The 27,385-nt window shown below is 40.8% G+C and overlaps 2 protein-coding genes across 11 annotated transcripts in view, besides 4 other annotated features; both read left to right on the top strand.

Moving 5' to 3' along the window:
• PPIL6 (peptidylprolyl isomerase like 6) overlaps window positions 1–3,443 on the top strand; it is a 50,957-nt gene extending 47,514 nt beyond the window's left edge. For all 5 annotated transcript variants that reach the window (NR_104429.1, NM_001286361.1, NM_001286360.1 and 2 more), the window contains one exon: window positions 721–3,443. Coding sequence is in view for 4 of the 5 variants with exons in the window: in NM_001286360.1 (NP_001273289.1) it covers window positions 721–832 (112 nt within the window). In the remaining variant the exon portion in view is untranslated. The remainder of the gene's footprint in view (window positions 1–720) is intronic.
• Window positions 10,574–10,803: an enhancer, noted in NCBI's record as "active region_24923". NCBI's record gives its function as "activates an Ori minimal core promoter by ATAC-STARR-seq in GM12878 lymphoblastoid cells {active_cell/tissue: GM12878}" and the evidence as "EXISTENCE:reporter gene assay evidence [ECO:0000049][PMID:35858748]".
• Window positions 10,789–11,298: an enhancer, noted in NCBI's record as "H3K27ac hESC enhancer chr6:109703563-109704072 (GRCh37/hg19 assembly coordinates)". NCBI's record gives its function as "activates a minimal SCP1, AML or CMV promoter by ChIP-STARR-seq in naive H9 embryonic stem cells {active_cell/tissue: H9 hESC(naive)}" and the evidence as "EXISTENCE:reporter gene assay evidence [ECO:0000049][PMID:30033119]".
• Window positions 10,884–11,233: an enhancer, noted in NCBI's record as "active region_24922". NCBI's record gives its function as "activates an Ori minimal core promoter by ATAC-STARR-seq in GM12878 lymphoblastoid cells {active_cell/tissue: GM12878}" and the evidence as "EXISTENCE:reporter gene assay evidence [ECO:0000049][PMID:35858748]".
• Window positions 11,191–27,144, top strand: CD164 (CD164 molecule). 6 transcript variants are annotated; one of them, NM_001142403.3, is made up of 7 exons: window positions 11,191–11,454; window positions 13,996–14,079; window positions 15,687–15,758; window positions 17,546–17,584; window positions 23,191–23,247; window positions 24,641–24,736; window positions 25,333–27,144. In NM_001142403.3, exons 1-7 carry the CDS (start codon window positions 11,280–11,282, stop codon window positions 25,377–25,379), a joined length of 570 nt encoding a protein of 189 aa, NP_001135875.1. In that variant the 5' UTR covers window positions 11,191–11,279; the 3' UTR covers window positions 25,380–27,144. The 6 variants fall into 6 exon arrangements, with proteins under 6 accessions (NP_001135875.1, NP_001135876.1, NP_006007.2 ...); NM_001142404.3 differs by lacking the exon at window positions 24,641–24,736; NM_006016.6 differs by having other exon boundaries at window positions 24,641–27,144.
• Window positions 11,454–11,733: a silencer, noted in NCBI's record as "silent region_17458". NCBI's record gives its function as "represses an Ori minimal core promoter by ATAC-STARR-seq in GM12878 lymphoblastoid cells {active_cell/tissue: GM12878}" and the evidence as "EXISTENCE:reporter gene assay evidence [ECO:0000049][PMID:35858748]".

Raw genomic sequence — 27,385 nt, 5'->3', positions numbered from 1 at the left:
GGAGATAGACTGTGCAGGCCCTGGTAGGCAATGGCAGGGACTTATAGTCTTCATCCTAAGGATAATGGGAAATTACTGTCGTGTTTTGAGCAAGGAAATGAAAGCAGATTGCTATTTCTAAAAGACCATGCTGGCCAGGTGTGGTGGCGCACACTTATAATCCCAGCACTTTGGGAGGCCAAAATGGGAGGACTGCTTGAGGCCAGGAGTTCAAGACCAGCCTGGGCAACATAGCAAGATCCTATCTGTACAAAAATAAATAAACAAAAATATTGGCCAGGCCTAGTGGCACACACCTGGTAAGCACTGGCTACTCAGGAGGCTGAGGCAGGAGGATCACTTAAGCCAGGAGGTCAAGGCTGTAGTGAGCTAAGATCATGCCACAGCACTCCAGCCTGGGCAACAGAGTGAGACCCTGTCTCAAAAAAAAAAAAAATCACCCTGACTGCAGGGAGAAAAACAGAGGGGAGGGTGCCAAGCAGATGGAGGAAGCCAGCTTAGAGCTGCGGCAGGAGGCCAGCTGCCTGGATGATGGCCCTGGATACTGCAGGTGTGGTAAAGTGCACACATCCAGAGAGGTTTAGGATACTTAGAGCTGATGTTCATTCAATTTGTAGGAAATAGTCTTAGCTATAGCTGGGTAGGACCCCATTTCGGAATGTTAAGCTAAATATGAAAACTTATGACTGACTAAATTTTCCATTTTTTTCTCCTATGTAGGCAACTGATTGAAGGAACAGAAGTGCTTAAACAACTAGAATTAGTTCCAACACAGAATGAAAGACCAATACATATGTGTAGAATTACTGACAGTGGAGATCCTTATGCTTGATTTTCATATCAATATTTTCTGTGATAATTTATTACTTTGTATCTGATCAGCTGTTTGTGGATTTAATTAAAAAGTACTTGATAAATTGTAATTTGAAAGCCGTGGCAGACACTGTAGGTTGCCTCATCTACACCCAATCCCTCCCCATCTTCCTTTCCTGTCTCTGTCATAGAGACTGTGAAAGGGTGGTACTCAATTTCCTAGACTCCTTTGCAGCCACGGGTGGCCATGAGAGATGGTTCTGGCCAGTGGGACAGGAATAGAACGCCAGTGGTCCTGCCCCTTCCCCTTCATCCAGTCTGGAATGTGGAGAGGCTGGAGCTACAGCTGTCATCTTGTGGCCATAAAGAAAAGGCTGAGGCCAGGTGTGGTAGCTCACGCCTGTAATCCCAGCACTTGGGAGGCCGAGGCAGGTGGATCACAAGATCAAGAGATTGAGACCATCCTGGCCAACATGGTGAAACCCTGTCTCTACTAAAACTACAGAAATTAGCTGGGCATGGTGGCATGCACTTGTAGTCCCAGCTACTTGGGAAGCTGAGGCAGAAGAATCTCTTGAACCCGGGAGGCGGAGGTTGCAGTGAGCCGAGATGCCGCCACTGCACTCCAGCCTGGCGACAGAGAGAGACTGTCTCAAAAAAAAAGAAAGGCCAAGTACTGCAGAGATGTCAGCCCCAGTCTCTTGAGCTGCGGGACCAATACCAGCAACCACCTACTCTGGACTTCTTATTATAGGAGACTAACAGAGCCCTGTGTTGTGTTGTTTATGTTACTGTTGGTTGAGAATTTTGTTACTTGTGGACAAAAAATTCTTAATTTAGCAACACACCTGATAGCCTAAGACATTTGTAATAGAATTATGTTCTTGTTTGTAACTACATGTACTCCTAGGAGAAACTTGGTAAGTAACCAAATAGGAATGATGCAGAAGAAAAAGCAATTCATTGTAATATTTCATTGTTTATACCAGCATTCAGAAAGAGTATCTACACTTTGGATGTTTTCATATATGACATGAACATCATCCTTATCTCTCTGAGCCATACCAACCCTATGAAAACCAAGGGCTTGTTTTACAGTGTCCGTGGTGGCTGACTCATGTGATGTTATTGGAGATTCAGCTTTATCACTACTCTGTAATCTAAAGTTCTCAAGCTCATATCACCTGGGGAGCTTTTAAAATGTAACCTAACAGACCTTGTCCTTGACCTACTGAGGCAGAGTTCCCAGGCGTGGGGCAGAGATTCTGTGTTCATTTGGTTCTTTCCCCAGGGTTCCCAGGCGTGGGGCACAGATTCTGTGTTCATTTAGCTCTTTCCCCAGGGTTCCCATTTAGACAGCTGGGCACTAGTCATCTGGGAATCACTGCAAGACATAAGGAACTGGTTCCAGTCCCCATGGTGTAATGTAGTCAGCAGAGTGCTTGACTCTGCTATTGGTGACCTTGCTCAGCTCCTGTTACCACCACTACCCTGTGCCCCTGCTCTGCCCAGACTAAGAGTGCTTTTCTTTTTTTTTTTTTTTTTTTTTTTTTTTTTGAGACGGAATCTCACTCTGTCGCCCAGGCTGGAGTGCAGTGGCACAATCTCGGCTCACTGCAAGCTCTGCCTCCCTGATTCATGCCATTCTCCTGCCTCAGCCTCCCGAGTAGCTGGGACTACAGGCGCCTGCCACCACGCCTGGCTAATTTTTTGTATTTTTAGTAGAGATGGGATTTCACCATGTTAGCCAGGATGGTCCCGATCTTGTGACCTCGTGATCCGCCCGCCTCGGCCTCCCAAAGTGCTGAGATTACAAAGGCGTGAGCCACCGCACCCGGCTGAGAGTGCTTTTCTTACCCTAAGCAGAATGAGGTTTGTCTTCCAAGAACAATCTCTATTTACATCAGTCTTAAAGAGGCAGGCTTCTAATGGATATGAGGCTTGCCAAAAGTAGGCGTAGGCTTTTTTAACTTTTTATTTTGAAATATAGATTCACAGGAAGTTGCAAAAATAGTACAGAGCAGTCCTGTGTACCTTTCACCCATTTTCCCCAGTGGCTACGCTTACAAAACGGTAGTACAATATCAAACCAGGCAGCTGACATTGGTACAATGTGTGTGATGCCATTTTATCATGAGTATATTCATGTAACCAACACTATAGAGAAAATATAGAACCTTTCCAGCACCTCAAAGACCCCCTTCCAGTACCCCTTTACAGTCAACCCACTCCCCTGCCCTCTGCCATCCCTAACTCCTGACAACTGGCATTTGCTTTTCCTTTTAATGACAGCTTTATTGCTATATGACATATGCTTTATGCTAAGACCTGAGGTGGATGGGAGGAAGCAGACCGCCTATGTTACATTCTCAACTGACCCAGAGCAACATAGTGTTAAGAATGTGTGTTCTAGGGCCAGAATCCTGGCTCTGCCATTCCCTAGCTGCACAAACTCAGGCAAGAACTTTTCTGTGCCTCAATTCCTTCATCTGAGAAACAGTGGTACCTACCACATAAGATTGCTGTGAGGGTTCCATGAATCAATAATTTCTATAAAGAACCTATAAGAGACCTGGTCTGCTGTAAGCACTCGATAAATTTAATAATAAATTACTAATGTGTAACCTTCAGGGTGTAGCCTCAGAGCTTGGACTTTTTGAAAGCTCTCCAATGACTTTGATAGCCAGATTTGGGAATCCCTGAGGAGAGTCTCCCTCTTCCTGTACTCACAGACTTCTGGGCAGTCTGAGAACTCGGGTGATTTGTCTAGAGCTTCCAGACCCTCTCGCTGGGCCTTTGCCCAGGTTCCTCAGGTCACACTGGGGACATCTCAGACAAAAGGGAGCTGGGCTTGCCACCAGGATTCAAAACAATTGGTGAATGAAAACTGATTCTTTGCAAGGAGCCCGGTTAAAACACATGACAAGCGTTACTCATGTAATAACAAACAGCAGGGCAGTTCTTACTGGTGATGAACCTATATATTAATGGCATTAGGCATTTTATCTGATGTTGTGAAAGAACTGGGATATTTGTGTGGGTGTAAGAAACTGATTCCAGCTCCCTTTGTCAGCAGCAATAGAAAGGTAGAACTCTGCCAGTCTTCTCAAGGATGGCGAGTTCATGGTCCCTTTGTTCACTCTAACTTTCCACTTCTGGGCTGTGGAAACCTCAACCACAGATCCATGCAGTGGTTCTTATCACCAGCACTTAAAAGTATACACACTGATACTTCTGTGCTAGAATGATTTGTATGTTTAACCTCATAGTTGAAGAAACTGATTGTTAGAAGGACTCAAAAGTTTACTCCAATGAACTCCACATGTAAGACTTTGATTTAACCAAACTGAAATACACTAATTAAACAGAAGGGATTCTAGATTTTTCCACATCTACAAATAGGACAATAAAGGCCTTCTGATGATTTACACAAAATGCTAAGTTATATGTCTAAACTTGCCCTAATTGCTGATATGGCAAAGTCAAGTACATACGCTTTATCTTATACTAGGCCGTGTGAATAAGGGAGGGCATATCTAAACATTTTTCTTATATGGGGAGATTTGAGGTAAATATTTAAAATTCTATCCAAGGAATTTGTTTGCCCCTACTGCAAACAGTGCCAGTTATTTGTTAAGGAATGGATAATCTGGCAACCTCAGGATTCCAGACCCTGAGTTTTTATACATATTTTAAATGAAGCATTATTTGTTTGAGAACCACCTGTCCAGCAATGTGATGGTCAAATCACTTAACCTTTCACTGTCCCCATTTGTAAAAATAACAGAAGTTGAGTTGCTAGCTTTCTTCTGGCTCTAAAACTTCAGTGATTATTCTGAGGAAACGCATAAAATCAACAATTTTAAGTGAAATGGGGGTACATCTGTCTCAGTGTTCTGAGGATTGACACAGCAGGTGAATCTATTCACAGCAGGTGAATTATGAGAAGCACAGCACAGTGCTTCTAATAATGCTTGGCACACAGCAGATATTCCTTAAGAATTAGTTTCCCTTCAGAAATGTCTCCCCACGGAAACCAGTCAAGCTACCACTGACAGAATATCATCATCCTAATTTCAAGAAATATCAAGCTCTTTTTATACTGAGTATTAGCAGTTCTCACATCAGATTAACTTTCAATCAACTGAACTAGTTCAAAGGTATATCTTTAAAATTAAAATTGGTCTCTACCACACCTAGCAATATTCTCCCTTATGGAGACTCATTTTTTAAACTATATTGATCTTACCATCCCCTACACTTCCCAAAGTGGAATCACCACCACTTAAATCTGGCAAGTCTTAAGACTTTTGTATATCATACGAAATATTGGTGACTAACTCAGTAGTAATGTATACAACATGAATTACAAGTTGCATATTTGATAGAGGGCTTTGTAAGGTGATAAATCACAGGTTCTTTTACTTTAGCATGCATCAGAGTGCCTGGGCCTGTCAAACAGATTGCTGGACCTCAGAGTTTCTGATTCAGTGGCACTGGGTTGGGCTGGAGAATTTGAACAAGTTCAAGGTGATGCTGCTGCTGCTGCTGTTCTGGAGACAACACTTTAAGAACAGATGGGATATATTAGATCTCTCATAGATCTGTGGCACACAGGTATGTAGAAGAGAAAAGTCATAACAGTAAAGTGTAACCTACAACAGAAAAGGAAGAATGAAGGAAACTGACAAGAAACCTTGATTTCATCAAGGCAGCAGAGGAGGTACACATACGTTGACCAATTAGACAGTGACCAGAATTCTGTTGCAAGGTCCTGAGGTTCTTAGCAGGGCCAGATGTGAGACCTCCAGGTGCTGGACAGTGGCAACGTGGTAGTCAGATCCTTAGGAAGGGACTTGGACACTTGGGCCGCTCAGGACACGCACTTTGCCAGTCAGTACAGAATTACTAGAATATTTTAATAACCAGAGTGGCCATGAGGTGTCTTCTGGCTGAAAATCAGCTCTCCAAGACAGGATCGGGAGAAGCACAGTGAATACCTAGGGACAAGGGGAAGCCATAGCTAATCCAAGATATCAGCAAGCCGCCTGAGGTGTAGTTTAGCTTGAACTTGGAGGTTATTCCTAAGGAACAAGTCAGGAAAAGGTTTCATTTCCTGAAGGACCAAGAGACGTAATGCAAAGAGCTCTAGCAGACCCAGGGTTTGAAGCAGAATACAAATAAAAATCATGCATCTCGGGTGCCAGCCTTAAGGGAACCTGGGCTGGGCTCCCTGACTCCTGCACATCCAGGAGGTTTGTGCTGTTTGTATGCTAACCTTACATATGTTTGTAAAGAAAGAAGCAAAAACAGTATATCTTGATGTAATTTTGTAAATGAATCACTGTTAAGAATTGCAGGCCTGGCATGGTGGCTCATGCTTGTAATCCCAGCACTTTGGGAGGCCAAGGGGGGAAGATTGCTTGAGCTCAGGAGTTCTAGACCAGCCTGAGCAACATGGTGAAACTCCGTCTCAAGCAAAAATACAAAAAATTAGCCAGGTGTGGTGGCGCACCCGGCTATTCAGGAAACTGAGGTGGGAGGATCACTTGAGCCTGGGGAGGCGGAGGTTGCAGTGAGCCGAGATTGCGCCAGTTTGACTGAAATAAGCCAGTTTATTTATTCATTTTTTTCTCAAAAAAGAAAAAAAATTGCAGCAGTTCAGGATAGAATAGTTCTGTGCAAGTCATAGTGTAAAGCAGTGTTCTCCAACTTTTTTTTTTTTTTTTTTTTTTTTTTTTTTTTATGAGATGGAGTCTCACTCTGTCGCCCAGGCTGGAGTGCAATGGCACGATCTTGGCTCACTGCAACCCCCACCTCCTGGGTTCAAGCAATTCTCCTGCCTCAGCCTCCCAAGTAGCTGGGATTACAGGCACCCGCCACCACACCTGGCTAATTTTTGTATTTTTGGCAGAGATGGGGTTTCGCCATGTTGGCCAGGCTGGTCTCGAACTCCTGACCTCAGGTGATCTGCCGCCTCAGCCTCCCAAAGTGCTGGAATTACAGGCGTGAGCCACTGCATCCGGCTGTTCTCCAACTTTAATACTTTACACATGTACATATCTTCTGGGAATCTTGTTAAAATGTAGGTTCTGATTCAGGAGATCTGAGGGGGAGGCCTGAGGTTCTGCATTTCTAGGTGATATAAATGATAATGGTTTGAGAACCACACTCTGGAAAGCAAGAGTAAAGCACTGGTTTTCCACCTAAGCTGCAGATTAGAAACACCTGGGAAGCTTTTAAAACTGCTGATGCTCAGACATTACTCCAGACCAATTAAATCAGTACCCAGGCACTAGTATCAATATTTTTCAACACACACCACCACCACTGATGTCACTAGGTAGTTCCAATGTGCAGCCAGGGTTAAGAACAACTGCTCTAAAGTGTAATGCTCCCCTCTGGCGCCCTGGCACACTTTTCAAAGAAACATCCACAGTCAAAGTGGAGAGCCTCCTAATGACAATATCTCCAGAATTTTACCCTTAATCTTAATCACAATATTAAGACTCTGAATATACAGTTTTAGCTAATATTTGATTTATTCCAATCCTTCTCTTTGTCAAAACAGATTCAAATACTACTAAATGAGCTTTAATATATGCTGTTAAAACTGTCTTACAGATGCCAGCCCTTGTTTCCCACCCATACTCCTCTAGATGAATCTACCCTGACCCACAGCTGAAGAGTTCAGGGAGTTATTTGTAGCAGCTGCCCTCCTACGCTTTTATTTTATTTATTTTATTTATTTATTTTTTTTTTTTTTGAGGCAGAGTCTCACTCTGTTGCCCAGGCTGGAGGGCAGTGATGCAATCTCGGCTCACTGCAACCTCTGCCTCCTGGGTTCAATAGATTCTTCTGCCTCAACCTCCCAAGTAGCTGTGATTACAGGTGCTTGCCACTACGCCGGGCTCCTCCTGTGCTTTTTAATGCAGCTAATTTTTGGCAAGGGTGGACAACTGACTGAAATAAGCCAGTTTGTTCATTTATTCATTTTTTTTTAATTAAGTGCAGGGAATAAACTGGTGAGCACTATTTCTGAGTTAATCTAGTGAGAAAGACAACTGCTATATAATGCAGTATATGCTTTGTTATGGGCAAGTCCAGGGTGCACAGAGCAGGAACACCTTTTGTAGTCTGGGAGTGGGGAGAAAGGGGTAGTTGAATATTTTAAGGATAGCTTAAGATGGGAGTGACAGCTTAGCTGAGAGACCTCAAACAAGTAGGAGTTGGTCAGATGCCAGAAGGGAATAAGAATGTTCTAGGCAGAAGAAATAGCATGGATGAAGATCCACATGCAAAAGAAAACATGACCAGTTAGGAGAACTGGAAGTTCAGGGAGCTCTAGTGTAGACTGCATGGATGGAGTCAGAGCAGAGAGTAGGTAACAGACAGGTTGGGAAGGCATGGTACTCAGTCAAGTTATCTCTTCCAAGAGCTATATAACTGGAATACTGGGCAATGGAGATGATTGGCTGTGGGTCTATAGATCTGGCAATGTCCTGTAGGGTTGAAGCCTGAAACGAAGTCCTAGCAAACCAGCTCCACGTGCTAGGGATTCCTCCTTTTAAGTTCAAGTCTCCCTTGGCCCTCACACACTTGATTTCCCACCCCTGAATGCCTATAAGATTTACTGTCATATTCTTACAGTGAATGGATTCCCTTTAACATAAGCTAGTACAAGGGGGTTTGTACTTCTTGCTATCAAGTAGTGGAGGCAAACCTCTGATTATTAAGGGGCCACTGGATGTTAGTTATAGCTAGAAGGCAGGGTCCTGTTTGGAGTGTTGATCTGTTTATTTGGGGAAAGGTACTGACACAAGGCTGAAGCATTGTTTAAAAATCTGCTGTTTAAAAAACTTAGAGGGAGCTTATACTGCTAGAAGATTCACAAGCGCAGAAGCACTCTGTCTTGCTGCTTTCAAGAAAATAAATGGTTAAGAAGGTCGCTCTAACAACCAATCGACAATCTAATTGCAAGCAATGTGTCTAAGAGGAAATAACCTGAGTGATGGCTGACCTTGCACACAGAAGAACGCTCTGAGGGTGCCTTTCAATTGTGATTTTACCCCCAGGAGACATTTAACAATATCGGGAGATATTTTTGGTTGTCACAACTGAGAGGTGGGGTGCTTCTGGTATCTAGTGTGTAGAGGCTACGAATACTGCCGAATATCCAACAATGCACAGGACAAGCAAGAATGAGTCAGCCTGAAATCTTGATAGCGCCAAGATTGAGAAACCCTGCTCTATGACAACAATAAACAGAAGCTTACTGTCAGGAACTGAAAAAAAAAAAGCTGTCTCTCTGAAATGGTGAAAATGACTTTGGAACTCCCTTGATCTACCTCTACAGTTGCCATGCAAAATAAAATAAACCAATGGTTTTCTAGTCTTAAAACAAGAGCGTGAAATGTCCCTTTATCAGGACTGAGGAATATCTGAGGACTAGAGTTAAACATCCAGGTGACAAATTGTTAAACAATGGTCTGCACAGAGGAGTGTGTTTATCCTAGGGTGGAAAGAAGATAACACACCAAGCTCTGAGAACAGAGCTTCTATTTACATTTTTTTTTTTTTTTTTTTTTTTGAGACGAGTCTGGCTCTGTTCCCCAAGCTGGAGTGCAGTGGTGTGATCTCGGCTCACTGCAACCTCCGCCTCCCGGATACAAGCGATCCTCCTGCCTCAGCCCTGCTAGTAGCTGGGATTACAGGCACGTGCCACCATGCCCGGCTAATTTTTGTATTTTTAGGAGAGACGGGGTTTACACCATGTTGGCCAAGCTGGTCTCAAACTCCGGACCTCAGGTGATCCACCCGCCTTGGCCTCCCAAAGTGCTGGCATTACAGGCGTGAGCCACCGCGTCCGGCCCCTATTTACATTCTTAACCTTAAAAAAAAATTAAAGTTGCCTTGCGCTTTCATTTGGTCTGGGTGCCAGATAGTCAAGTGTTAAATATAGAGAGAGGCCTCCTGAGAGAAGAGCAGACACTTCTCTGAAGGGCTTATGGTGGGAGCTCACTTCCCTGACAGCATTCTCATGCTTCTGGGCTGGATCAGTCAAAACTATCAGCTTTTTGTTTACATCCAAGCAACACTACTCCAACTAGCGTAGTCATTGGAACAAATGTTCATAGTCCTGAGGGTACAGAAGGACGACACTGAAAAGATCCCAAGGGGAAATAAAATCTTTCTATTTGAGCAAAAAGGTAAAAGCACTATGTAGTCATCTTTTTTGGCACATCAAAAAAGTCATCGTGGCACATCAAGACAGACCTCACGAAAGCAATTAATATTCCTATATTATTAGGATAACTTTGCATAATTAAAATTACATAAGTGTACAACAGCTGAAAACACAGCATTAAATACAACTTTTAAAGTCTAATTTTTACCATGTGATAACCGTATCAAATTTTGCGAATATTTTGTGAGACTTGGCAGTAGATGGCGCTCACCTTTACTAAAAGTCTGAGCAGCGCCTTAACACTAACAGGAACTTAAGAATCCAGCTCTGATGTCAGGCAATCCCGTGTCCAGGTCAGGTCACTTTTTTAAGTCTCAGTTTCCTCACTGGTAATGTGGGGGTGGGGGCCTCCCCAATGACCTCGCAACTCAGACCGCTTTTGATTCTCTGACTACAGTGGTGGAGTTGAGACAGGTCGGCTGCTGCAACCGCCGTCTGAAATAGCAATCCGGAAAAGTCAGGTTGGGAAAGTGACAGAGTAGACGCCCTGCGGCTCTGATCCGGGCGGCGCCTCAGCTGCCCACACTATGTGGGCGGCAACGCACAAACTCCTTAACCACGTGGTGCCTCCATTCCCCTAGGGAGTCCCATCACAGGATAACTTCTAGCAAAATCAATCTTCAAGAAAAAAAGAAGGGGTCCTGCCGAAGATATAAGGAAGCTCCCTGGGGATCCCGCAGCACAGCACAAACTTAGTTCTTGAGAGCCGCACAAAACCAACTTCCGCCCCAGTGGAGTTGCGTCCGGAAGGCGCGGCCCCGGAGGTCACGTGGGCCCGCGGAATTACAGCCTGGCGGGGCGCTCAGGTGGAAGCAGTAGGCCACATTATGTCGACTGTTCCATGCAAGTCAGGGTGGGGGCCGTCCCTATCGCAGGCATGAGACAAGTCCAGCTGCGTCGTGTCTGGTAATCTGAGGGCAAGAAGAACGATTTGCAGAAGCTCCCAGTTTTCTTGGCTGTGGCACAGTCGCTTTGAGGGCCAGGTTCCTTCGGCTTCCTCCCGACTCCCCTGCTTCCCCCCGTAGGATTCCCGTTGGTATCGTCCGAGCCCCACCTCCCTCCTCTTCGCCCCCGCACGCCGAAAACAGGGGCCTCTCACGTGACCCCTGCGCGCTCCCGCGGGGGAGCGTAGTCTCGGAGGCGGCGCCGCAGGGGATTGAGGGGTTGACTGAGCGTTGCGAGCCTTAGCTTTCTCCCGAACGCCAGCGCTGAGGACACGATGTCGCGGCTCTCCCGCTCACTGCTTTGGGCCGCCACCTGCCTGGGCGTGCTCTGCGTGCTGTCCGCGGACAAGAACACGACCCAGCACCCGAACGTGACGACTTTAGCGCCCATCTCCAACGTAACCTCGGCGCCGGTGACGTCCCTCCCGCTGGTCACCACTCCGGCACCAGGTGGGCGCGGGCCCTGTGGGCTTCCCGCCCTCCCCTGCCCAGCCGAGCCGCACTGCCTCCTCGCCGTGCGGGCGGGGCCCGGGTTCGGGCCACGGTCGGGCGGGCGGGCCGCGCTCGGGGTGCGGCGGCGACTCCGGCAACATGGCGGCCAGCCTGGAGTCCACTCGTGGCCGGGCCGGGTGGGGAGCGCGCTGGGGGGAAGCGGACGCGCGGTTCCCAGTGGCTGCGGGGCTGGGGCCCCCCTCGAAGTGTTGCAAGTCGAGGTGCCTTTTAAAAGTGCATCGTAATTCCTAGCCTCACTTGGGGTCGGAAATGGGGACGTGGCTTCCTTCCGCGGGGGCAGCGGTGGGGTTGAGGATGGGGCCGGGCGTCGCGCCTCTGAGGTTGGCGGTGGGGCCGAGCTGCCTCTCCCTGCCACTGGTTGTTCACCCTCCCGGCGCCTCTCTCCGGAGGTAGCCTTCTCCGGAAGTCCGGGAAAGAGAAACTTAAAGACGGTAATGCTCGTTCGTGTCTCAGACTTGAGTCTGAGAAGGTCGCTTGAGATTTAATTACATTGGTTTTGCAGATAGGAATAGAATGTAGCTGACGTTTGAGCACGTAGTTAGTGAAAACTTCACACTTCAAAGTATGCGAAAAGGAAGAAAAGTACCCATGTATGTACCGGGTGTTTTGCGTACGTATCCTAAGGCTAAACTGGAAGGTAGGTAGTGAAACCTAGGAGGTAGATGCAGAGACGGAGATGAGTAAACTCTCCTGACATTGTATGTTTATTCTTTTTTCAATTGTTTTTAAAATTTTCTTAACTATGTCCTGTGCTCAGATAGCGTATGTTTAGTAGGTCGTGGAACGGGGGTTTGTGCCCAGGTCTGTGGGTTTTCTAAAACCCGATCAGGAGCGTGTCTTTTGTTATGTGCAGTCGCATAGGGCTGGTTAAGGCATACATACATTTTAAAGCAGAAATTGCCATATACCGTGACAACACAAAAGAGAGAAGGAAGATAAGTTTGAGGTAATAAGCGGGAGAAACACTAGAGGTTTAAAACCTGCAGTCTCGTATGATTGGTTATTCTAGTTAACATTAGTTAAGGAGTAATGTTTACGTAGTTAACATTGGCTTCTTGACCGAAGAATGCCGAAGTGTAATGATTTTTATCACGGCATTCATATTCTACAAATTCTCCTCTAGTTTTAGTATTTTATAAAAGTTTAATAAAGTATATAGTAAACTTAATGTTTTGTTTTTAGTTTAAGGAAGATGTAATGGTAACATTTCAAAACGAGGGAAGTAAATTGCAGTATAATACTGGGAATTCTAACCGCACTATTTTAAGATGATAGAGCAGAATATGTTTGTCTCAGTCTTAATTTGACAGTTTCCTTTCAGAATTGTAGTGTGTGTGTAAGAGAAGGTTGGAAGTATCAAATTAATTTGTCTTTGTGTAATTGAAGTGCGTGCAAAGGAGGTATGTATTTTCTGGAAATCATAAGTGGATGTAGTGTGGTCTGAAAGGTAGCAAGTTTAGTTCATTGTAAAGAACATTTCAGACATTTCACTTTGCTACACCCGTCAAGCACAAAGGTTTTTAAACAGCATGTTTTATCTATACAAACTTCAGAAAATTTATTTTTACTTTATGAACCCTTCCCCACCCCACCGTACATGTCCCAGTCTTTAATAAGTACTAATGATGAAGTATTGAAAGCAGTGCCTCTGCAGAACTATTTTTTAGGCAGGAGCAAAGCAAACGAGAATGTTTGGAGGCATCTAGTTTCTAGGAAAATGAATGGAGCCCAATTCTTTTTTTTCTTTTATTTTGCTGCTTTTTCTCACTGGAAAATAGAGCCCAATTTTATAGTCCGTTCTTCTCCAGAAATTGAATTATGGTGATGAGTACTTGTTTCTGGATTGTTTGGCCTAGGATGAACTATTGACAAATACCTTGTTAACCTGAATTGTATGCACTTGAATATGGGCTTTTAGATGTTGTCTCCAGTTGTGGAGGATCCTGTCGAGAGTGGATCATTTATGAATCGAGAATCCCTGGGAAATTATCTTTGTTTGCAGCAGAATGGGCATCATCAGTGCTTGGGTTCAACCTGTTAAACTACTACTGTTACTACTAAAAATCTCAGGGTTTTATCTGATGTTTGGGGGTAGTGGTTTTCCTATGTGTAGTGTTGGTATTATATCAAAGCCTTTTTCTCGATATTTTTATGTATTAAGGATGCTTTGAAATGCCTAAATCCTTAGTGGCTGTGGGTGTCTTCCAATAGTTGTCCTGTGAAAAAGGATTGGTTAGACAGATACCATCAGGCACTGTACTGAGAGTGACCACTAGCTTGTTTTTCTAATGCGTTTACTTACAGCTTTGTAATGATTGGAATTTCTTAGTAAACCAGTATAAAGTTTTATCATTTATCTGAATTAGTAATTTTGATGCTGTATGTAATGCTTATTGTTCAAAAAGATAAGTAATACAGATTCAAATAAGATACTAATAAAATCATTGATTTCATGCATCTCTCCCCCCAACTCCCCAGAAACCTGTGAAGGTCGAAACAGCTGCGTTTCCTGTTTTAATGTTAGCGTTGTTAATACTACCTGCTTTTGGATAGAATGTAAAGGTAAGAAACTTTGGGGATGCAAAACTGTTTTGTTATAGCATTTTAAAATACAGTAATTCTTGAACACTTGAAAGTTATGTAGGACATTTAGGATATTGTGCACTATTTATTTTGCAAATCCAGTACTCCTTTAAAGTGCCAGTTGCCTCGCACTCCCCCTGAAAATCTCTTTTTGTCTCCCATCCTCCCTTTAGATTCCTTAAGACTTGATAATTAAAGCTCAGTCGTTTGTTTTTTATGAGATGGAGTCTCCTGTGTTACCCAGGTTGGTCTTGAAATCCTAGGCTCAAGCAATCCTCCAACCTTGGCCTCCCTAGTAGCCAAGACTACAGATGCGTGCTTCCTCACCTGGCTTTTTTTAAAGCCTGTTCTAAGGATTGAGAGTACTTTAATACACTGGAATTAGCTGTGAGTGAAGGTTGTGTTGAAAACTGTGTCCTGCAACATGAAATATAAAGAGACCTTATGAAACTGTTGGATGCTTAGGTGTAGAGAAGAAAGAGGTAGGGAGAGTTGACTTCCTGTGCTTTTGTTAATACAAGAGGTAGAGCGCTAAAGGGACGTACATTGAAATTCAATAAGATTCTTATTAGAACCATATTACTGCATACATTATTTTAATTGTTTTTTAATGTAAAGTGGTTGCACTTATCAGTAAAACAATCTAGTTGTTTTGGCGGTTTTTTTTTTAAGTAAAAACAAACCATAAGTTTTTTTATTTGGTAAAAATTTTAATAGTTCTAGAAATTATATCACTACATAAATTTCAAAAAGCTCTTTAAGGTATTAACTAAATTGGGCCAAATTAACTTTTTTGTTATAGAAGTGTCTCTTTTTTTTAGGTCATAAAATGGGATTTAAGGGCGTACTCTTTCCCCTTTATATGGGAGTATGTAAGAGTTGGTGAATTTTGGAGATGGAATGCTCTACTTTAAGATTTGTTGGGAAAGGTTCTCCCCTTACTCTTGTTCCAAGTCTACCTATCCAGGAAAGTTGTTTTAGAAAGTATAGAAGACTAAAGCAGTGAGATTTGGAATAGAGTTTCTACAGTGTTATGGGGTGCCTCATCTGTTTACTAACCTCTTAATACAGACCCTGACCACTTCAACTTACTGTCTCCGCCTTTTTTTTTTTCCCTGAGACAGAGTTCTGTATTTTTGGTAGAGGCAGGGTCTCACCATATTGGTCAGGCTGATCTCGAACTCCTGACCTCAGGTGATCTTCCCACCCTGGCCTCCCAAAGTGCTGAGATTATAGGCGTGAGCCACCTGCCCACTTTTTAGATGATGGCTGCCTTTCTTGATTGTACAGTAGTCTTCCCACAATTCTGAGATCTAAGTGTTGCAGATTTATTTTTTCAGTATATTAATGTGGATTTTTAATGGATAAAAGTTAGAAGGATCCTGCGTAATCTCTAAGTCAGTGGGAAAAGGAGAATGACAGGGTTTGGTCTGTGGGTTTAACTTTAGGTCAAAACACCTAAAGTGGTTCCCCCTGCCCACTTCTAAAGTGTTTGGGTTTGATTTCATAGAGCTTAGTAGCAGAGTCAAAGATAATACAAATGGGTGGTTGATGCTGTTTGTCTCTTTTCCCCTGCCCCCCAACAGATGAGAGCTATTGTTCACATAACTCAACAGTTAGTGATTGTCAAGTGGGGAACACGACAGACTTCTGTTCCGGTAAGTATTCATATTGGCTGCTTGGAAGCTGACCGCAGAGAGGTGAGGAAGATCATTGCCTCAGAAAGCCTTGTTTCAGTGCTTTGTTTGAAGCATTGCCATAATTCTCATCTTGTTAGAATTGGAATATGAATAGTATATTCATATTGATTGATTAAAGGATGATATTTGAAGCTTGGTTTAGTGATTTAGCTATAGTGTGGATGCTGTAAGTGTGGATGCGTTGTCTGCCCCCACACTTTTTTTTTTTTTTTTAAACTTTTCTAGGAATTCATCACAGTTTAGCCGCTATGTTTGCATCTTGCAGGTCTGGGAAACCTCATTCTGGCACTTTTGGTGTTGCGATACTGGGGATTGTTGATTGATAAATTTATTCTGCAGCATAGTTGGTGCTGTGGTTAAATGAGCTTTTCTATACCCATCCATTTTCTGTATTTTAATCTGAGTAACTTGATTAATTTTTAACCTTTACTATTCGTCCAGCAAAACGTTAAAATTCTACTTGAAGCTGCTGATTTTTCCAATGAGATTGTAAATCAGTGGGAAAGGCATATTCCTAATTTGATGCATAGATAATAATTGAATAGGAAAAAGATTTTTGTGCAGTGTGTCTAACCTTGAAAGACTACCTTTGACTCTTTAATTTTGGTAGGGGTTGCCCCATCCCAATGTGAATTTTGTAACTGAACATTTCATTAGTATTAGATCAGTTTTACTTCACACAGGGTGCATAATATAGTTAGGTGGTACACGAACAAACTTTTTTTGAGACAGTCTCTTTGTTGCCCAGGCTGGAGTGCAGTGGCACAATCATAACTCATTGCCACCTCATATTCCTGGGCTTAAGCAATCCTTCTGCCTCAGCCTCCCCAGAAGCTGGGATTACAGGTGCATGCCACCATAGCTGGCTAATTTAAAAATTTTTTTGTAGAGATGGTGTCTCACTATGTTGCCCAGGCTGGTCTTGAACTCCTGGGCTTAAGCAGTCTTCCCACTTTGGCTTCCCAGAGTGCTGGAATTACATGCTTGAGCTACTGGACCTGGCTGAAACATTTTAAGTAATTACTTTAATATGTGTTAGATAAACTAATAACTGTCAGACCTGTGGTTTTGTAATATTGCTTAGAGACAAGATTAATGAAGATTTCATTAGTATTAGAACGTTTTTGAAAACTGATTTAAAGGAAAACTGTATTTGTACTGCTGCATATTTGATGATGTACCAGTTAGAATTAGTTTCAGCTATGAAGGACATAAACCCCCAAATTACAATGGCTTAAGCAGTGGACTGATTTACTTTTCTCTCATGTAAAGGAAGTCTGGACTAGAGTTCAGCTCTGCAACCATTAGGGACTGAGGCTTCTTTAGGTTTTTACTCTTTCACCTCTCAAAAATGGCTTTGACCCTACTGTCCAAGGTGGGTCCTTATGTTCCAGCCATCACATTGATTATTTTCCTGCCAGCAGGATGAAGAAGGGAATGAAAGAGGCTTGTATCTTACTTTAAGGATGCTTCCTAGAGGTTATGCGTGATGGCCTGGAAGCACTGGAGACTAGGAAATGTCTTTTCAGGAGGAAGGGAGGTGTTGATAAAAATTGGTGATTCTATTTCTAAAGAAGAGACTGGTATTTGGGGGCAACTGTCAGTCTCTTCCACAGGTAGTATTTAAGTGTTGTAAAAATTGTGAAAAGTACTCAAATGATTGCAGGTCAGGAACTAGCGTTATAGATTGTGATATTTTAAATAGCTTTGATGTATATGGTTTTTCTTTTTTCTTTTTTTAATAGTTTCCACGGCCACTCCAGTGCCAACAGCCAATTCTACAGGTAATTCAAGATGACTGTTTTCTTCCTTTTCCTTCAGTATTTTTAAGCTTTCTTGATGGATTAGTTTTAAATAATTATGTAAAAGTTGTTAGTATAATTTTAAAGATGAGTAAAAACTTAAAAGTCTTGGACCACAGCAATTAACGTTAATCTCTACCTTTTGTGACAGTGACACATAGCTCCAGTGTTTTATAGTCGGTGAATGTGAGCAGATTTGCTGAGGCTGTGTACATTGAGTCTATAAAGTACTTTTTATAGATTTAGTGGAAATCTTGGGAAATATAGAAGCCTAAAGCAAATTATAATTCTCATCATCCAGAGCAACCAAAATGTTTTCAGTGATTAATTTCTTCTAGTCTTTTTTATGTGTATCTAAATAAATACACTTTTTATGAAATTGTACGATAACGTTCATGCACCTTTGTATTTCTTTTTTTCTTTTCTTTTTTTTTTTTTGGAAGCGAAGTCTTGCTCTGCCGCTCAGGCTGGAGTGCAGTGGTACGATCTCGGTTCACTGCAACCTTCCCCTCCCAAGTTCAAGCGATTCTCCTGCCTCAGCCTCCTGAGTCGCTGGGATTACAGGCACCTGCCATCATGCCCAACTAATTTTTGTTTTTTTAGTAGAGTCACGGTTTCACCACATTGGCCAGGCTGGTCTTGAAATCCTGACTTAAAGTGATCCGCCTACCTCAGACTCCCAAAGAGCCGGGATTACAGGTGTGAGCCACCGAGCCCAGCCTGTATTTTCTCTCTTAATGTAAGCATTATGGTATACACTTTACCCATCCTGCTCTTGATTAGAGAATTAGGCCGTCTCTCATTCTCCATGCAGTGAACATCTTACATGGAATTGCATTTGTATTTATCTCTGATAGGTTTGAGTCAAACAGAATTTCTAGGTCAGAGGGTATGATTATTTTAAGGCTCTCCAGAAAGATTTATTATTTTCATTCCCATCAACCTGGAAAGTTTTTACCGTGCCCTCAACAGCATGGATAAGAACTCCTTAAAATTTACTAACTTGAGAGGAAGAGTAAATATTAAATACTTAACATTTTACCAATATTAAATGCGTCTATTCCAAGACAAGTACTAGGGTAAATGGTAGGGTTAAGCCAGCATTTTGTCTACTGTAGGAACAATGAAAGATCTCAGTGAGCACAGCGTATTGGGAAATTTGTAAGAAGGAATGTGTATTGGGTGGGATGCAGATGTGGTGATAGCTTGGTAGTGAAACTGCACTGGAAAACTTGGAGAGAGCCTCTGAAGTGGAGCAGCGGGTCAGCACATGCGGAGGAGATGTGAAGTAGTACGGTGAGTTCAAAGAGTGTCCCATCCTGTACAAGGTGAGAAGGAGTTAAGCTGGTCCATCACCAGTTGCTCACCAGGTGAGCAGAATTGGGAAACACCTTTGTATGCCTTGCTGGTAGACTTAGATGTTATCCTGAAAGATTTTAAAGTTTATAGGTCATATGATCAGACTTGCATTTTAATAAAACAACTTATTCTGGCATTGTGGAGAGTAGATTGGAACGATGCCAGAAGGAACTCAGGAGATTAGATAGCCTGTTACAATAATTCTAGAGAACAGATAGAGGTGGGCTGCAGATGTTTGCAAATAAGTTTAGGAAGTAGAAGGGGTAGGACTTCATGACTGAGAGGAGGAGAGGTAGAGTGATAGGGAGAAGGGGAGGAATTTTCACCAAAGTAAGCAAGAAAGAGGAAGAGCAGTCTATTGATGGTTGGGCCTGTCATTTGGGATTTTAGTTTAAGATACCTAGAATCCATTTAAGTGGGATCTGTTCAGTATTCAGGAAACTGCAAGTCAGGCAAGAGCTCTTGGCTAAAAATATAAATAGGCATAGGCAGTAGTAGAGGCACTGGAGGAGCATATAGAAAGAAGGGATGGGGCTTGAAGACCAGACTCTAGGAAACAGTAATGTCTAAGGGCTAGGAAGAAGACGGGAGGAAATAGGGATGGGGGTAGGGTAGTAAAAAAGCCCAGAGAAGTATGTGCAAGAAACTAACAGTATGTGGTTGTGGGCGTAGTTTTTCAAAGGAAGAAGTAGTCAAATGCTGTAACAAGGACAACTCATCTTGAAACACTTACGCAGTGGTGTGTGGAGCTGGCTTGGACCAGCTTTTGCTAGCCAGTTATTGTGTAGTAGCTCTTCCCAGCCCATGTTCAGTGATACCATGTTGGTAACTTGAAACTGGTTACCATGGAAATAGTCATGCCATGGAAGTCTGCAAATGATACAAAACTTATTTTGAGCTGATGATTATATGGTGATGTGGTCGTAAATATTTAACACTCATTAGAAGACATTGACTAAGTAGGATGTTGAAGGTTGCTGAAACCAGAGGTGTTTGGAGAAAAGTAATTTTCAGAAGGTTGGTTATGAAAAGAAAATGGGGTGCAGGGAGTGGGGGAACAATTTATTCAGAACTGTTGTTCATTTCTTGAGAACTGGGTTCACTCTTGATGTAGTTCTCTGCAGCTTTCTCCACCCTGGGTCCTCCTGTGAATTGCCATGAGTCTTTTGTGCTATAGCTCTCTTTGGTGCTGTAAAGGGGGAAAGCAGCAAGGGCTTATCTGCAGAAAATGCATCAGTTGACTGACACTAGTTGAAGAACAAACCTTTAGGCGGTTTCTTTTCCGGGCATGTGTACCGTCTGCCGAAGAGAGCAAGTGAGAAGTGAAGGGGTAGTTAAACAATGCAAAGAGAATCTAATTTATATAGAAGGGTGTATAATGAGGTTAATTATAATGGCCCTCCTTCAGTACAAATAATAGAATAGCCAAAATATGTCAGATACAGTGGAAAATGTTCATATGAAGTGGAAGATGAACTGTATTAAGCAATTGTAATACAATTTTAGCTCTTGTTATATACATGCCTAGAAAAATGGCAAGAAGTAACCTGTTACTCTGATGGGACTAATTCAGTATTTTTTTTGGCATTTTCTAGATTTTCTTACCACTAATAGCAACTTTTATAACTTATGATTATTATTATTTTTTTTTAACCTTTCCTAATGAATCTTTTTTTTTCAGTAAAAGAAACAGTAGGTCAACAGAGGTATATTCCCTAAGTGGTGCTTTTATTTTGAAAATATTGTCAATGCAATACTTTTTTCAAAATCGAAAATAAAATATTTTGCCTACTTATTAAAAAGAAATAGTTTTTACCTTGTTCTGAGGCTGGGTAATGAGAACCAAATTGCAAATTTGCAGAATTTTTTTCCTAACATTGTCAAACAATTGGTAATAGTGTTTTGAGATTGAACAGAATTTGATGTGTTTAATTTGTAAAGTGTATTTTTTTGTGGTTACACAGAAGCAGTAAAAACCTTGACAGAAATAATGAGCTTTAACATAACCACAGCCTCTAATCTAAGAATTCTGTGTAAGGACCAGTCTTACCAGAGATAAGGTCAAATATTTTCCTGTAAGATTTTCTCAGCATGGAGAGTTGAGAGAACTGTTTAATCAAGAGCAGGATGGATGGAAGTATGTACAACAATGCTTGAAGTAAGAGGGAAAAAAGAAAGCAAATGGGTCTGAACATATCCATCAGTATTATTTGTATATCACCTATTAGCTTCTAAGTAGTATCAATATTAATAAAAGAAGTCTTAAGCTCTCTGTGACTCATGGTCATGTGAAAATTAGAATACCTTAGTTTCCTAGGATTCAGTCAACCTTGGGATTATGGGTAGTCAGCCTGTTACGAGAGTCCTGGTCTTTAAAGATCTACTTTTAGCAACAATTCAGGTATTTAGCAATATCTGAAAACTGTCAAGCCCTGCTCTTTTAGTGTATATTTACTGTTAAAGCACAGAACTTCCTCTTTTATATTAGTAGAATTTGGGAGGATGCTGATTCCTATTGAGGTTTTTGTTCGATTGTTTGAAAGTCTAATGCAGTGAAAAGATTACTCATTTCTGTGCTTCATCAACAGTTATTTGGCACCCTTTCCCTGTCTTTCGTGGGTTAAGCATATCACTTTGAAGTCTGTTCAGTTATGTACTTTAAACAGAAGTAACATTTGTTTTCCAAATTCTCTTTAGCCTTCAAACCCTTTTTTCTGAAATAGTACAAAAATGAATGTTTGCATAGCACCTTACATTTTTATAAAAATATAAATCTCATATGATTAATCTTCCTCATCTTTCCCCAGATCATCCCTAGCGGCCCACCAGCATAAGCATATCCTCATATTGAAGCCCTTGCACTCTGAAGCCTGACTTACCTAATGATTTCCTGAGACAAAATAAGCTCTCTTAGCTAGTGACTCCTATAGTGCACTTTCCAAAAATTTGAACCCTACCCTTAGGACAACCTCTTAATGAAACCTTTCTCAAATGCTCCAGCAAACTTTGAATTTATTTGGTAGCCATTTGGATGTTAGAAAAAATGTTAATTTGTAGAAACTATATTCACATCCTTCCTTTCTGAAAGCCTTGGTCAGACTTCTATTAGTATTCATACTACCAATAGAAACTTAATAGGTGATATACTGGCTGGACGAGGTGAGTCATGCTTATAATCCCAGCACTTTGGGAGGCCAAGGCGGCAGATCACTTGAGGTCAGGAGTTCAAGATGAGCCTGGTCAACATGGTGAAACCCTGTCTCTCCTAAAAATAAAAAATTAGCTGGGTGTGGTGGCACATGCCTGTAATCCCAGCTACACAGGAGGCTGAGGGAGGAGAATCGTTTGAACCTGGGAGGCGGAGGTTGCAGTGAGCTGAGAATGCACCATTGCACTCCAGTCTGGGTGACAGAGCGAGACTCCATCTCAAAAAAAAAAAAAGAGTGCTTTAGTCCCTAAAATGATTTTACATTCAAACTAATCCTTCTCAGAGTGTACATTTCTTTAGCAGTATCATCAGCTATTAGGTTGGTGCAAAAGTAATTGCAGTTCTTGCCTTTAGTAATGGCAACTCAAATAGTATTTTGGCCTCATGCAGTGTGGTGGACTAGAGCTTACTTAACCTTGGGCTCTTAGAATCTTACGTTGGGGAACTGTGGGCCCAGGGCCCCTGTTCTTATAAAGCTTTATTGGAACATACCATGCCCATTCGTCTGCATGTTGACTTTGGCTGCTTTTGCATCACACAGTGCCCAAAGAGTAAAATATTTGCTTTCAACCCATTTAAGAAAAGTTTGCCAACTCCTGAAGTGAAGAAGATAGGCAAATCTCAATACCCTTGTAAGAGAGAACTTACGACTTTAATAGTTTTTGTCTTAGGAGAAAGATTATGAAGAACCTATAGTTTCCTCACCTAAATGTTCTTGCCCTTGGCAGTGAGCAAGATAAGAGTTTTCGCAAATTTTATCCAGATGTATACATAGATTTTATACAAGATAGATACATAGATATTAACAATTTTATGATTGCTTATTGTTTTAAAATACACTTAAATCCTAGTATTCTTGGGTGCATAGCTATGTTAGTGAACCATTAACTGAAATTTGGCTTTTGGTCTCTAAAAAATTGAAAGCATGTTGAAGTTGGCAGGATTATTTTTTAAAGCTGTTAGATAACTGGGAAGCTAGAAATTTAAGGTTTTTTAAAAAGACATTTTGTTTTCATTCCAGCTAAACCCACAGTTCAGCCCTCCCCTTCTACAACTTCCAAGACAGTTACTACATCAGGTAATTGAGGCTTTTTAGATTAGCAATGATGCAGGATGTGTGCACGATGTTGCCCTTTACAATTTCTGCCATCATTTTCCAGCTTTCTTCGTTAATGGTTATGGAACTGAAATTCTTCTCTTACTCTTAGGGGGGATCAAGGTAGTGCTTTGTTAACACAATAATGATAGCTTTGCTGAGATTCCTCTTCTCATTTTTAAATGTGTAATCACATTTGACGTGACACTTTAGAATTAAGTAATAATGTTTTTCCAAACATTTCAGTACAACTTGTATGTAAAATCTAATTTGTAACTTCTGATTACCGTTAGGGATTGGTTGTGTGCTGTATGAGAGAGCATGGCGATTTGAGGGAAGATAATATATCCGTCCTTTTCACTGAGAAAGGTCTAAAAAGCCAGAATCACTACCAGATGTGCACCTCACTTTCTTAACCATTTCTTAACATTGCTCAGTAATGTGAAAATTAGCTTGTTATTAAATGATGATTTGACATAATCTAATTTAATTCATAGTTAGGTTACGCCACAGGATACTGTAGGTACACAGGTTAGGAATCCTTTCCTCCCTCCATATTTTTAAAAAACTGATGCTAATGAATCTTCTACCTGCTTTTTGTGATTTCTTTTTCTTCATGCTTATGCCACCTTTTTCTCAGTTTCAGTGAAGCCATTCTGTCTTCACGAGAAGGAATACAAAACAGTTGTCATTAAAGTTACCAACTTGTACAGCCACCAGAACCAGTGTTCTTTGATAACTGTTACTTTTTTCTTAGATTATTTTAAATGGAAATCGCTTTTTCTGTTTCCTCTTGAAACATTTTACTGCCTGAAAAGAATTCAGATATTTGTTTTTTCCTTATTACTTGATAATACTTTCTCATGTGAAATTTGTTGGCAGGATATGCCTTTAAAAACAGTTATTTTACTTGTTGAAATTATAAATTGCATATTATTAAGATTATTTTTGTAACATGAAAAATTGCAACCAAATATTTTACCTTATACTAGTAAATTCAAAAGTCATGTGAATTCTCAGCACTATTGACGTTTACACTCACAATTAACTAAAAGTACATAGTCTGAAGAAATTGTTGCATATTTTAGAAGTGTTTGATACATTCCCAGGGCACAATTTATGTACTAGGAGAATTTTTCCCATTGTTTTTATATTTGTACTAGTACAGTAGCATTGACCACTTTGTATCCTTGGGTGGAATGAAAAATGGGATATGGTTGTCTTCCTCAATTAGGGATAAATTCTAGCTGTAAAGACTTGAGGAAATACTTTATAGAATTTAACACATGGCAAAATAGAGGCTCAGGTGCATCTTTAAATTACAATAGAGGACCATGAAACTTAGGATTGTTGTTTCTTTTGTCTTATCTAACAGGTACAACAAATAACACTGTGACTCCAACCTCACAACCTGTGCGAAAGTCTACCTTTGATGCAGCCAGTTTCATTGGAGGAATTGTCCTGGTCTTGGGTGTGCAGGCTGTAATTTTCTTTCTTTATAAATTCTGCAAATCTAAAGAACGAAATTACCACACTCTGTAAACAGACCCATTGAATTAATAAGGACTGGTGATTCATTTGTGTAACTCACTGAAGCCAAAATACTATCTTTTAAGATGTCCCACATGGAAGACGCTATTCCAGGATCTTTAAATTTCCATGGATGCATATAGGATGTTTGGGAGCATCATCCGTGAAGAAAAAATCAATTAAATCATTGTGTTCAACAGGAATATTTAAAATATTCTGCATGAATCCTGTGGCTGTCTTATTTTAAATAGCTGCTGCTGTGGGATTATATTTTTTTTCCTTAACATGCCAAATATAACTTTCTGAAAGTGATGGAAAATGTTGTCTTGTGCAGACAACATCATGGCTCTTGGCAGTTTAAATTTAGTAATTTTAATTTAGTGAACAGAATTGAGAAGAACGTGCCAAATGAGAATCAATTAGGTGGATTTTTGGCTGTCATTTCAAAAGTGGAATAAATTTATTAATTTAGTAGTACTAAATGGTATCCTTAGATTAAAATTTTGTGCTTGATAACAGCTGTTTTTTCTACATTAGAAATAAGATGCCACACAAGGAACTACATTCCAGATTTAAAGAAATGAAAGGATACCATTAGTGTGTATAACAGATTATTGTTCATACTTGTAAAGCATCTTATGTCATTGAGAATATAAAGAACAGTGCCTTAGAAGACAGTGAAAGGTAAGCTCTAGCTTAATGTCTATGATTTGTTCTTTGACATTAAGGAAGGTAAGGATTGGTCAGAGGATGTAACTTGATGTGAGCAGTAGTAAACCTGTTTTAGATATCATACTGTTAATATTTTATTGAAAATTTATTTCAGAGCGGAGAAACTTAAGCTAAAGTCTGTTATACAGAATTGAAAGCCTTCGTATCTTGAACCTCCCAACATTTTTCTTATGGCTGTTGAAAAGTATAGAGCTAAATTGATTTAATTACACTTTCCTTTGTACTTTAAAAAAAAGTATGCTAGCACTATTGTACCTTGAAAGGATTTCCACCAGACTGTCTTGAGTAGTGACTTCTTTGGTGAGGCAAGAAGGATATACATTATTTTAGAATCATTTACTATTTAAATGAGACAATCATATTATTTTAGAATCATTTATTTTAAATGAGACAATCATTTTAAGTTTTAAGATAACAGAAGTGACCAATGTAATTTCACAACACCTAAGGATTTTTTGGTTGATCAGGTTACTGTAGATTTTTACTGATTGTCCTGGATGAATAGACTGTGCTTTTTCTTTTTCTCTCCCTTCCTTCTTGGTTTCCCATAGTATAATAAGCATGCATACTTTAACTTCTATAGTTTTCTCCTTTAGAGGGTCGTCTTCAGTTTTAGAGGTTTACTTCTCCCTTGCCTTTGACTCATTGGACTAGTGCAGAGGCTTTAAGTAGTTTAAAATGGGCTTTTGCTTTTCTAGGTCATTAACGTTTTTTATTTAGTTTCTTTAGCCAATAGTGGCTGAGTTTCGCACTTGATTTTCAATATTTTATAGTAAGAAATGACAAACTGCTTTGTTTCATTTCATAAACAAACTCTGCATTTAGATAACTATTAAAGGTTGTTAAGATGAAGATTTACTGTTTCTTTGTTACTCGTTGGTACAGCTGTTTGTTTTACTTGCACATTTGTACATATACTTAATGTTTTCAAGTGCCTTAATTGTTTAAAATCTCTGGCTTCAAAGTTTCTTGGGGAAAGGTCGGTTTACCTCACATTTTTTGTTTCCATTAGTAATATTCTAGGTACCTCACAAAATGTATTATGGTGCCATGGCTGTTAGTTTTTAGTGAGTGCTGTAGGATTAATTCGAAAATAGGCAGAATTCCATTCCTCCCAAGGTGGCAAAAATTAGCTATACTGATGTAATTGTCATTTACCTGGGTATGAATTCCCTGACACACATTCATGTCAACATATGTAGCAAATTTTGTGAAAACATAACAATTTGAAGCTTCTGTAATTTTGAGCACTGCTCTAACAACAAGCATAATATAAAATTAGTTAGATTTTGCAAGTCTACAAATGAGCTCTTGCAACAGAACTCACAGCCTTTTTACTTTTTTCCCCTAACTTTAGCAATGTAGTATCTTGAGCCATTAATTTTTGGGTTTTTTTAAAATCCAGAAGGTATATAGAAACCTTTTCAGATTTTTCATCTGATTTGTTCTTGCAGATGTTCTTCTATCAAATACCTTATTTTACCTTACAGATATTTGTTGCACAGGCAGATACTGCTGTATTTAGACATTTCTATTTCAGTTCATTAAAAACTGCAAAACCAATCTGTATCATGTACCAAACTGACTTAAAATAAATCTACATGTTTATTGAATTAATAGTGTGTTACTGCGTTTTGCTTATAAAATTTAATGCTTAGTGGATTTATCTTAGTCCGCTTGGGGTGGGCTTTCTACTCATTTTATTGCACCTCTAGACCAGCCGATAGTAACTAAGGCACATGTTCATATCAATAGAAAGCAGAGCCTTGGAAGTAATAGGTGGAGGGAGGACTTGGTACACTTGTGGGAGTGATTTGCAAGTTGATCTTCCACAAATCAATAGAAATTATGCTGTAGT

This window comes from Homo sapiens, chromosome 6, assembly GCF_000001405.40.
Source record: "Homo sapiens chromosome 6, GRCh38.p14 Primary Assembly".
Classification (NCBI taxonomy): domain Eukaryota; kingdom Metazoa; phylum Chordata; class Mammalia; order Primates; family Hominidae; genus Homo; species Homo sapiens.
The sequence above is the reverse complement of the archived record's forward strand: the minus strand, read 5'-3'. Positions and strand labels throughout refer to the sequence as shown.